The following is a 12,248-nucleotide window of genomic DNA, read 5'->3' as shown; positions in this document are numbered from 1 at the left end:
TTGAGTATTCGTGCTTGTCTGGAGGTTAGTATGCCCACTGGTGTCTGCAAAGAGTGGTTTGGAGTGTTTATTGGGAGGGAAGGGGGCCTAGCACACAGGTGAATCCTATCCCTGGGGCAGGGTAGCTCAGGAGAGGGGGTGTTGGTGGGGAATATGTTCATGTATGTGAAATTCTCAACATATAGATGTACATGTGACAGTGCAGCAACTCATACGGAGCCTGAGGCTGTGCAGGGGCCAACAAGGGTCTGCTTAGTACAGCTCCAAGCACACAGTAAGGACTTGACAAGTCACAGCAGCTATTATTATTTTATACCTGAGTAAAATAAGCTTGTGAGTGCTTATATGTTAAATTGAGGTATTTAGGTTTCTCTTTAGCAACGAAGCACTCGACAGAAGGTTGTGAGAGCATATGGATTTGTGCAAAGGGATGGGGTGTATGTGTGTATGCGTGCTCATTCGGGCACTTGTGCAGGAGAGCCAGTCTTTGTGTTCTCTCATGCGCACCCATGACTAGGTGTGGTGGGTATAAATTCGGTGCATTTGCCAAGGATCTTGGATGCGTATTGGGCTAAACTGGGGCGGGCAAACGCAGTGGTTTATACTTCCAGGAATAATAATGTACGAATACTTTGGTTGCGTGCAACTGTGTGCTAGGCACTGCGCTAAGCACTTCTGTGTCTCCCAACAGCTCCCATGGTTGCCCCACGGAGCGCACGCTCTGCAGCGCCTGAGGGTCTGCGGCGCTCACTGCGAAGGAGGAGGGGAGACCCGTGAGGCTGTCTTGGAACTTTCGCTCTGCGCACCTGGAGCCTGAGCGCTCGGCTTGGGAACAAGAAAGGAGACCTCAGGCAGCTCCGGGGCAGGGCCTCGTGGGGCACCAGGCGTGCCCCAGGCGCCTTGTCCCAGCGTCGGGGTGAATATGGGACCCCATTAGTCTTGGCTGTAAACACCGTAGCAGGGGCCGAGAGGCCACGCGGGCCTTTCCGGACGCGAAGGAGTTAATAAAAGGTGTTTTATGGGCGCTAGGAAACAGTGGGGGAGGTGTGAGCTTCTCTCTCTACTCTCGCCCCCCTACTTTTTTCTTTTTTCCCTCTCGCCACCCGCCGCCAGATCAAACAGGCCCGCGATTTAACTAGGGCAACACTTGGCGGTAATGAGCCTGTCCGACGCACCCCTTCCTCGGCCTCAGTACCCGGCCCGAGGCCCCAGGGCCCTTGGGGAGGAGCAGAGAGAAAAATCAAAGTTTCTTTCTTGTTGTTTTGTTTTTCTTTTCTTTACCTTCTTTCTTTCCGTTTCTTTCTGGGAGTCCGTTTAGAAATTCCGGCGCGCATGGAGAAACAGACTCAGGGAGGGAGGTGATCTAAGCCCCACAGCACGGAGGGAAGCTTATCTAGATTCGAACCCAGGACTCCAACTTCGCTCACACACAAACCTCTGGCTATACACAGGTCCCAGCTCCCAGGACTATTTTTAGCACCGTGAAGTATCCTAGGCACGGGAAGAATGCGCACCCTGGTCTAGCTTTCTTATAGCCGGGGAAAGAAGAGGGGGTGCTGAGGGAGACCCGCCAGCGGCCGCCAAAGCCAAGTCTGGCATAACCAGGCCTCTTCAGAAAACCCAATCCTGCTGGCCCCAAACCCTCTTTGGGAAGAGAGCCTTGGAGCCCTAAACTCGGTCTCAGAAACGTGCAGTCCCTGAACCCGGGAGCCGAGACGGAGCCGGCGCCCATTGAGAGGGTCACTGGATAGTCCCCCACTCTCCCCACGCCTGACTCCAGCGGCCTCCCACGCCCACGCCACATCCCCAGCTCCCACCGCACAGCTGGAAAAGCCGAGCACAGAGAACGGCTCGGAGCTGCCCCAGGTTTCACAAACCATTCTGTGCTGAGGGTCTGCAGACTAGGGGTCCAGCCCTTCTCGCTGCCACCCTGGCTCTCCAGGCTCCCACCCCTCCTTAGCCCTCCCTTCTTTGAAAACATCTTTAGAGTCTAACGTTTAGTTTCTTCTTCTCTGCCCAGGTTTCAACGAGGTTTGTCAGACACCTCAAATCAGCTGTGGCAGAAGCAGGGTCATTATTTATTATTTTTGAATTAAATACATCTTTTTTAAAAAATGGGAAAAATGGAATGGTTACCAACTTAAAAGTAAATTCCAGGAGTTTACTGCAAGGAAATATTGATGTTACAAAACGTTAACTATAGGACTATTCTATTAAAGAGTGAAACACGAGAAAGAACCTGATGTCCTATAATTACAGAACTGGCTCAATAAAGCCATCAGTACAAGTGGGTTACTATTCAGCCATTAGAAAAAATGTGGGAATTGACATGGAAATTGTTCACGATATATTAAGTGAGAAAACCTCCTCCCATATTACACCAAACACTGTCCATTGTGACCCTTTTCATGTAAAAATAAAAAAATATTATTCGTGGAGAAAAATTGGAAGAATATACATCAAAACTTTCACACCTTTACCTCTGACTTGTGGGAATAAGGGTAATTTTGACTTTTCCTCTTGCTTAGCCATATTTTTCTTAAATGTCTTATAATGAATAAGTATTACTTTTGCAATAAAAATTAAGCTGCAATTTCCTCTGTTGCCAGCATACTTTCAATACACCATTTATTTAACATACATTTATTGTGTGCCCACCATGTGCTAGGCACTGTGGGCATAAATATAATGAAAAGATCCTAATAACGATCAATTAACATACAACAGAAAATATTTGTCCTGAAGAGTTTATTATTCCTCGTACACAGCAAATAGTCTTTTTTTCTTACATTTAAAGTCTATTGATGAATGGAATAGTAACAGCTAACATTTATAAAGAAAAGTATTTAAACTCAGCATGCATTATTTCATATAAGCCTCACAGGGTTCCGTGAGGTCAATATTGAGGGAGCTGAGGCGTAGAGAGGTGAAGGATTTTGTCCAAGGTCACATGGATGGCAGATAGGACTTGTATCAAAGTGCAAACATGGCTACCTCCAGAGACCTGTTTCCCCCACATCTCGGAGCACCTCCAGGTGTGTGTGTGTGTGTGTGTGTGTGTGTGTATACATACATATGTGCCCAAATACAGTTTCTCTCAGTCTGATCTTCCTTAGTCCCCAAAGTAAGGTAGAGAAAAAAAGAAGGAAGGAGTTACGTGAAAGGATCTGGGATTCAAATTCCAGCATTCTCCTGGAACCCTCTTCCCCTGTCAGGGCTCTGAGTGGATCCCATCTAGAAAATGAGGAAAAGGGTAGGCTCCAAGGTGGTTTCCTGTTAGTAACATTCTGATTCCAGGAATCTACTTTCTCCTGGTGAGGAATTCAGCACGTTATTCTTTGCAGTAGTCTCTGGTGTTTGCCTGGCACATTTACCTTACCCGGGTACTTCCACTTTTATAAGTGCATTTTCCTCCCCATAATCTGGAAGACAGCCAAGGCAGGAATGATGCTCCCCATGGACAGATGTGGGAAAGGCAAACCCAAGAGAGTTGATGTGACCAGTTCAGGGTCACACAGCCAGTCAAAGGCTGAGCCCGGATTAGAAGGTGCGCCTCAAACCCAGGGTTCTTACGGAAAAGGCACTGGATACCTTCTGTCTATGCAACCATTGGTTAACCTTATAGTCTTGCTAAATCTTCACAAAAGAAACGAAACTAAGAAATCAGCCAATCTCATTTTTAAATGAAGAGTGACTGAAGAGAAAAAATATGCACGTTCTGAAGTGTCTGAAACCAGCCTCCTGATTTAAACCTGATTTGTTAGAAACAAAATTTTTTCAGCTGAGAGAGTTTTTACAGCTGAGCTCTCCCAAACTCATAAAAAACTAGGTTTATATGGGAAATCGTGAAAGACTCTTAACTATAATACACAGCATCTAATGTAAGCAGACGTAGACACTATATAAAGCTCCTACAAATGTTATTAAAACAAACAGAAATGCACATTTATCCCCACAAAATAGACAATGGAAAGCATCGGACTTTAGAGGAGTCCTGAAAGGCTTATGTTCACTGAAATGTGAACACACCCCATAACACTGAGACCTCAAAGGTCTTTACCCACCATCCAAGCATGTCCCTCATTTACAGAAGGAGAAACTGAGGCTCACAAAGGAGAGGGACTTGCCCAGCATCTCAGGGAAGTTGTGCCCTTCTCTTCCCTTTGTTTATTTAATACCTTCTACTTTTAGTGCAGGGAACAGAACAATACAAGGGCCAGGAGTCCCTGCACAAGTTACTGAACATTTCCCAATCTCAGTTTTCTTCACAAGTTACTGAACATTTCTCAACCTCAGTTTTCTTATCTACAAAATGAGAGCAATCATTCCCCCAACATCCTTGGGTCTGTGAGGATGGAAAGAGATAAGGCATGCAAAGCACTTAGCGCGTTGCCCATGGTAGAGCTATTTTTATTATTTTATTTAATCCTCATAACAGTCTTGTGAAGCATTGAGGGTTTCTTTTGGTTTGTTTGCTGGCTTTGGAGACTCAGGGCATACTTCCAACAGATGCAGAAGATTTCAGTGACTTTCTCAAGGACACACACCCAGTGAGCAAATTCCTGCTTCAAAGCCCTTATAGTCCACATCATTAAGGTAACACAGGGGGAAGGCAGCCTGTAGCCGTTGAATTTCTGAAACTGTTTCAGGCAGCACTGTACAGTACAACTATCATGCAAGCTATAAGTGCGAGTCACATAGGTGATTAAACATTTTCTAGTAGCCACAATAAAAATGAGAAGAGAAACAGGTGAAATTATTTTAATAATGTATTTTGTTTAACTTAATATATCCAAAATAGAATTTCAACATGAATCCATCTAAAAATTATTAGTAAGATATTTTACATTCTTTTTTTTTCATACTAAGCCTTCAAAACCAGGGGCTTTTTTTTTTTTTTTTTAAGTTGGAGTTTCATTCTTTTTGCCCAGGCTATAGTGCAGTGGTGCCGTCTCGGCTCACTGAAACCTCCGTCTCTCAGGTTCAAGCGATACTCCTGCCTCAGCCTCCCGAGTAGCTGGGATTACAGGTGCTGACCAATATACCTGGCTAACTTTTTGTATTTTTAGTAGAGATGCGGTTTCAGCTTGTCAGCTGGCTGGTCTCGAGCTCAAATGATCCTCCCACCTTAGCCTCCCAAAGTGCTGGGATTACAGGCGAGAGCCACCGTGCCTGGTCCAGGCACATAACTATTAAGTGGCAGGGCTGGGCTGCAGACCCAGATGCATTTGACTCGAAAACCTGCCCTTTCAGCCACTCAGTTCCGTGACTCCCAGAGACAGTAGGGGGACTATAGCTGGGCAGTAAGATGTGGAGTGCCTTTTGGAGTGTCCCACCTAGTTCCAGTTCCAAGTCTACTATGAGTCAGGTGACCTTGGTCCAGTCATCTCCTTGTGCCCCAGTTTTCTAATCTCTAAGATGGGCTAACAATATCTTTCCTCCCCGCAACAGAACTCCTGTCACGCTGAAGTGGGAAAAGATCTTTGAAAGTGTTTTGAAGGCTGGGTGCGGTGGCTCACGCCTGTAATCTCAAGACTTTGGGAAGCCAAGGTGGGTGGATCACCTGAGGTTAGGAGTTCGAGACAAGCCTGACCAGCATGGTGAAACCCCATCTCTACGAAAAATACAAAAATTAGCAGGGCGTGTTGGCACATGCCTGTAATCTCAGCTACTTGGGAGGCTGAGGCAGGAGAATTGCTTGAACCTGGGAGGTGGAGGTTGTAGTGAGTTGAGATAGCGCCACTGCACTCCAGCCTGGGCAACAGAGTGAGACTTTGTCTCAAAAAAAAAAAAAGTGTTTTGAAACAGAAAACATATTAGCACAAGAGGCCTGGCCAAGGTCAACAGGGAGGTCTAGACTGGCCCCCCAGGCCTGTACTCAAAACTAGGTGAGTTGGTGAAATGAGCTGCATGGCAATGGGCAGGTTTTTTAACCTTTCTGAGACCCACAGCTCACTTCTGTAAAAGGGAAGGCAGAGGCCAGGCGCAGTGGCTCACACCTGTAATCTCAGCACTTTGGGAGACCGAGGCAGGCAGATCACAAGGTCAGGAGTTGGAGAACAGCCTGGTTAACATGGGGAAACCCCGTCTCTACTAAAAAAATACAAAAATTAGCCGGGCATGGGGGCGTGCACCTGTAATCCCAGCTACTCGAGAAGCTGAGGCAGGAGAATTGCTTGAACCTGGGAGGTGGAGGTTGCAGTAAGCTGAAATCGCGTCACTGCACTCCAGCCTGGGTGACAGAGCAAGACTCTGTCTCAAAAAAAATTCTCAAAAAAAGAGAGAAAAAAAAAGGGAAGGCAGAGTAGCGTCTAGAAGCGTTTTGAGGACCTGGGAAGCTCTTAGCCTGGCCTGGAGCAGGCCGGTGGTAAACACGAGCTGTTCTTGCTGCTGTTGTGGTTGAGGTTGAGCTGCTGGGCCTGCTTGGGAAGCGACAGAGTGTGGCAGGAAAGGCGAAGACAGCGTGGCCCTTCAGGGCACCCTGAGACCAGGCTCTTGGCTGAGGGTAGAGCGCAGGCTGTCCGACGGTGAGGCGTGGGAGGTGTGGCTGGAAGTGCAAGAACAGCTAGTGTGGCAGGAAAAGCACTAGCCCCAGAAGGCAAGAGAAGGGGGTTCAGTTTGCTGTGTGACCTTCGGTACTTCCTTGCCCCAGCTGGACTCTGTAAAACAAGGAAGGGGGACCAGATCTAAGTCCCTTTCTGCATGGACTCTCTAGGATTTTTACAACGGTGTGAATCGAAGTATTCACCAAATACAGCATCTCTATGAGGGACAGAAAATACTCCTAGGGCCTTCCCCTGTGGCCTGAGGCTGCCACCGATTGAGGGGAGGGCGCCACCTGGTGGCCATACTCCCTCTTCTGCACTCTCAGCGCAGAGAAACCAGACAGGATCCCAGACTCCTCCTTGCAAGGTGAGCCCGGAGCCCCAGGACTCCCTTTCTTTAACTTCCTCTGGCAATTCAGGGGCGTAGAGAAGGGACTCAGCAAGTTCACAAAACCAGGAGTCCTGGGTGTGAGCCTAACTCCTGAGGGACGCTGGGGTTTTGTAACCCAAGATCTCTGAGGCCTTCTTACCTAAATATGCCTTAGGGACAGGGATCTGTGTTTCCTTACTATGTGAAATCTGAAATGCGCCACACTTTTTTTTCCTGTTCCTTTGAATAGAAGCCACTGAACAAACACAGTCCTCTCCTAGTAACTCAGAATATTTCTGCCACTACTACACAGGGCTAATGGAACACAGAGGGCAGTTTCCCCCTGCACTAAATAACCCAGGTTGCTGGGATCCTGAGTTCTTCCAACAGCTTTTACCACTCTTCCATCTTCCCAGCATGGTCAATATTCCACTTCATTCTGTGGTGTAGGTTGCATGGTGCACAGGGGAGTCAGACTGACATAGGCTCAAATCCCAGTTCACTGTGAGACCCTGGGTGAGTCACCTGACTTCTCCAAGCTGTAGTTTTCCCATCTGAAAACTAGCAATGATAATAGCTTCTTTGCAGGTCTGTGTGAGGATTAGGACCATATACAAAGACCCTAGCACAGTGTCTACTTCCCAGTCGGTGCTTAACAAATAATAGCTATATTTCTGCAGCTGGGCCATCCTGACCATCTTTTCATATCCAGCTTTGGAAATATTCCTTGATAGAAATACGAATAGCATACATTTGAAAACTATATTAGCCACCAGAGATAGAACACCCTTCGCTGAAGATGAAGGAGCCCCCTTGGAACTGTTTAAATTGACTCAGCCAAGTTCAACTTCATCTAGTTTAGATAAACCCCAGTAGGCAGGCTGCGGTCTTGTGAGTAATTGATTCCCTCAGTCCTCATTCTTTGGGCTTCAGTAAGTTTCATTAGATACAGCTTCACCTTCTGGCAGTTGCTAGTGCGCGTGGCTGAGTCTGAGCTCTGCTGAACCTGTCCCAGCCCAGCTGACTGGATGGCTCCCTTTGAAGCCTGGTCCACTCCTGCATCCCCCATCACTTAGGCAGGAGAGGCTCTGGTTGGGCACAGGTAACCTCCCACTGCTCACTTAACAAAGGCCAATCTTGCTAGTGGCTATGAGCCCTCAGGAAGTCTCTTTTAACTGTTTTAGCTTAATTAAGCTCATTACATTTGCTAACCCTCATTGGCTTCTCTAAGACTTCAAGTGCCCGTTATGCACTGCTCCTTCCTCAGAAGTAGGGTTGACGCAGGGCTCCGAGCTTTCATCACAGATTCTATGATTTTAGTAGTTGAAGGACTACTTCCCACTCCTGTCTGAGTCTTAGCTCCTCTGAAATTCCTGGCTCCTGGAGGACAGAGTCCGTTTCCTTTGGCACCTGGCCCACAGCAGATACTCAAATACTTTTGTGACCATATTTCATCAATGGGTTGTTTTTTTTAATAATAGCAGGTTTGATGACTCCAAAGTTCAAGGTACTCATTCCAGCATGAGGCTTTCTGCTCCTCATTCACTGTCACATCAGCCTGGACTTCCCTTCACTCTCATCTCATCAAACCTGTTTCCTTCAAGGGCCTGCTTAGGTGCTTCCTCTTCCGGGAAGCTCCCCTACTTTTCAGAATGCCTTTTCCTTGGTATTTTCCCCTTACTCTGAATCACATAGATAGAGTGTGGCTACACATGAAGTTAGCAAGTAGATGCTTTGATTTACCTATAAATATGGTCATAGCAGGGTTGGGCATGGTAGCTCACGCCTATAATCCCAGCACTTTGGGAGGACAAGGCTGGCAGATTGCTTGAGCTCAGGAGTTCGAGACCAGCCTGGGTAACAACATGGCAAAACCCCATCTCTACAAAAAATACCAAAAAAATCAGCCAGGCATGGTGGTGGTGCACGCCTGTAGTCCCAGCTACTTGGGGGACTGAGGCAGGAGGATCACTTCAGCCTGGGAGGTTGAGGCCACAGTGAGCCAAGATCGCACCACTGTACTCCAATCACCTGGTGACAAAGTGAGACCCTGTCTCAAAGAAAAAAAATTATATATGGTCATAGTTACAGATATGTGTGTATAAATATACATGTATACTATGTATATAAACATATATCTATACAGATACATATTCCATATAGTTGTATATAGATACTCTGTATACATATGTTTACATATATAGTATTTCTAAGCTGATATGCATATCTTTCTATGTCATTAAACATTATTTTACAATTATGACATATGTATAATGCTTTCAAGACCAGTCTCCTAGTATTTGATATATAGGCTGTTTCCAGTTCTTCACTGTTCTAAACAATGCTCTTGCGAAATATTATCTTACTCAAGTATTAGGCAGCATGACATAGTGGACGCTGGAACCTGTGTGACTCATCCCCACCGTTTCCTGGTGACCTTGGGCAAGCCACTTCACCCTTCTAAACGATTTTTTCATCTATAAAATGGGGATAATAATAATACTCATCTCATAGGGTTATCAAGGCATGTACAGTGCTTACTTACCATTGGGACTGTCACATTGTAAGTGCTCAGTGAAAAAACAGTACCAATTCGGGAGGCGGAAGATGAAGATTTTCTCTGTCTTCTCCACTACCAGTGTGACTTTGTATATCACTGTTTCATAGCGTGACAAAAACTCACAGAAGTGATGGATGACAGCGCTGTACAACACTTTAAGTGCTGCTCAAATTTAAGGTTGTATTATTGTTGTTGCTTTTACTTCTCTTACTACTTTCTATATGTTTCGGGAATATGTAAAGTAAACTATGCAAGCAGGTAGTAAGTGCTTTGAAGGCACTTAAAAATGCTTTGCTATTTTACAGTTACGGTGAAAATGATTTGTGTTCATTATAACCAGTTTAGATGATACCAAGAAAGCACAAAGAAGAGAGTCAAATTTACTCCAAAATCACCAACCAGGACTAACCATGGTTGCCATATCAGTTGTGGTCTTTCTTAACTGGCTACCCTTGTGGTGCCCAGGGCAGAACAGGGCAGGCTTCAGCTGTTTAATAAATGTCTGTTGACCTCAACCAGATCGACTGTTAACAGCAGCATGCTCCAGTTCTCTCCCTCTCAGCCAACCTCTGACAGTTTCATTAACCCCATTAAATCATGCAGGTGCCTTTACACCTCCTGGGCTTGTTAATCTCTGTTCAGCTCTGGTAAGTTAAAACCTGGCTAGAAGGTTGGATGTACCTTGTTAACCTCCATTAAACCCTATTAAATTTCTTAACTAGAGTCCTAGTGACTTCTCAAAATCCCTCATTAAAGTTTAGTAAATCCAGTTGATTGGGACAAGGGTAACTGTTGTAGCTGCGCTGCTTCAGAGCTTGGCATTCTGAGTTCTTGGACGGTGGGGTTGACAGCAGTATCCCTAGAGCGAGGCAAGCCTTGGGGATCCATCCTGGGAGTGCCTTTACCTCTTTGGCTCTCATTGTTACTGGGGCAAGTTCCTCAGCTTTTCTGAGACTGTATTTACATCTCTATAAATTGGAGTTAATAATAGTTCCTACTTTGTATGATTGTAGTGAGATTAAATGAATTAATGCACATAAAACTATTAGCCATTGTCTGGCATGGACTCTGTACTTGATAGCTATTATTATTCCTGAATATAGAAGATCTTTGTAGACAAAAAACTGTTGAGTACACAGAAGACTCAGTCCCAGTACTAAATAAATATAGTGTCCTCCTCTGTGTCAGGTCTTGGGCTGGAATGGTGGGTTATTTTCATTCTGGTTTTCTGCAGACTGAAGATCATCCATTTGAATGACAACAGTGTCAGCCACTCTGTTTGCTCAGACTCTGCCACTTCTGAGCTGTTTGATGCTGAACGTAACATAGTTATAATACTTTCTTGACCAGGGCCTTAGGGGATTGGACTCAGTGGTTCCTAAACCTGGATGTGCAGATAAATTTCTGAAAGGATTTTTTTTTTTTTTGAGATAAGAATCTTGCTCTGTCGCCCAGGCTGGAAGTGCAGTGGTGCAATCTTGGCTTACTGCAACCTCCGCCTCCTGGGTTCAAGCGATTCTCCTGTCTTAGCCTCCCTAGTAGCTGGGATTACAGGCATGTGCCACCATGCCCAGCTAAATGTTTTTGTATGGTAGAGGCAAGGTTTCGCCATGTTGGCCAGGCTGGTCTCGAACTCTTGACCTCGAGTGATCCACCCACCTCGGCCTCCCAAATTGCTGCGATTATAGCATCCGAGAGGATTTTATAAAACGCGCCCAGCATCCGAGAGGATTTTATAAAAACATAGTTTCCTGGGCTTCACTTGAGAAAATTCTCATGAAAGAGAGCTCAAGGGGAACTTTTAACTAGTATTTGAACAGGTGATACTGAAGCTGTTCATCTCTGTGCTGGGATTGGGAAACCTCTGGACCAGATTGGTGCTTCTCAACTTTATTGAGCTTAAGTCTTACCTGGAGAAATTTTAAAAATCATTATTACTGGGACTTAGACCCTGAGCTTTTCATTCTGAGGATCTGGAATGGGGGCCCAGGAATTGGCATTGCAACAGAGTGCTTAGGGGATTCTGATGGGGGTAAGGGGTGGCAAGTGCCACACTTTTTTTCTTTTTGAGATGGAGTCTTGCTCTGTCGCCAGGCTGAGTGCAGTGGCACGATCTTGGTTCACTGCAACCTCCGCCGGGTTCAAGCGATTCTCCTGCCTCAGCCTCCTGAGTAGCTGGGACTACAGGTGCGTGTTACCATGCCCAGCTAATTTTTGTATTTTTAGTAGAGACAGGGTTTCACCATGTTGGCCAGGATGGTCTTGATCTCTTGACCTTGTGATCCGCCCGCCTCGGCCTCCCAAAGTGCTGGGATTAAAACACCGGACCTCAGATGATCTGATATTCGATGTCCTAAAGCTCTATTTTGAAAAGAAAATAAAAGGGTGTTGGGTTCCTCGTGAAACTTCTGTTCTAATAGCATATTAACATGTGGGTTCATCTCCATCTTTCCATTAAATTGATATCTGTGGATCATCAAGGGATGTTTACTGCAGCAGGGGGTCAGCCAGTTTTCAAAGTGTGGGGACAAAGCACCCCTTTGCCATTCAGTGTGTGAGGACAGCAGGCAGGCCCCCATGGTTAGACACAGTATAAAAGAATGGGAGAGGCCGAGTGCGGTGGCTCACGCCTGTAATCCTAGCACTTTGGGAGGCCAAGACGGGTGGATCACGAGGTCAGGAGATCGAGACCATCCTGGCTAACACGGTGAAACCCCGTCTCTACTAAAAATACAAAAAATTAGCAGTGGTGGGCGCCTGTAGTCCCAGCTAC

The 12,248-nt window shown here is 46.0% G+C and overlaps 2 annotated features.

Moving 5' to 3' along the window:
- Positions 324-1,295: an enhancer, noted in NCBI's record as "H3K4me1 hESC enhancer chr5:153852965-153853936 (GRCh37/hg19 assembly coordinates)". NCBI's record gives its function as "activates a minimal SCP1, AML or CMV promoter by ChIP-STARR-seq in primed H9 embryonic stem cells {active_cell/tissue: H9 hESC(primed)}" and the evidence as "EXISTENCE:reporter gene assay evidence [ECO:0000049][PMID:30033119]".
- Positions 1,296-2,267: an enhancer, noted in NCBI's record as "H3K4me1 hESC enhancer chr5:153851993-153852964 (GRCh37/hg19 assembly coordinates)". NCBI's record gives its function as "activates a minimal SCP1, AML or CMV promoter by ChIP-STARR-seq in naive H9 embryonic stem cells {active_cell/tissue: H9 hESC(naive)}" and the evidence as "EXISTENCE:reporter gene assay evidence [ECO:0000049][PMID:30033119]".

This window comes from Homo sapiens, chromosome 5 (genome assembly GCF_000001405.40).
Source record: "Homo sapiens chromosome 5, GRCh38.p14 Primary Assembly".
NCBI classification, from domain to species: domain Eukaryota; kingdom Metazoa; phylum Chordata; class Mammalia; order Primates; family Hominidae; genus Homo; species Homo sapiens.
Note: the sequence above shows the minus strand (reverse complement) of the source record. Positions and strands in the feature narration are given on the sequence as shown.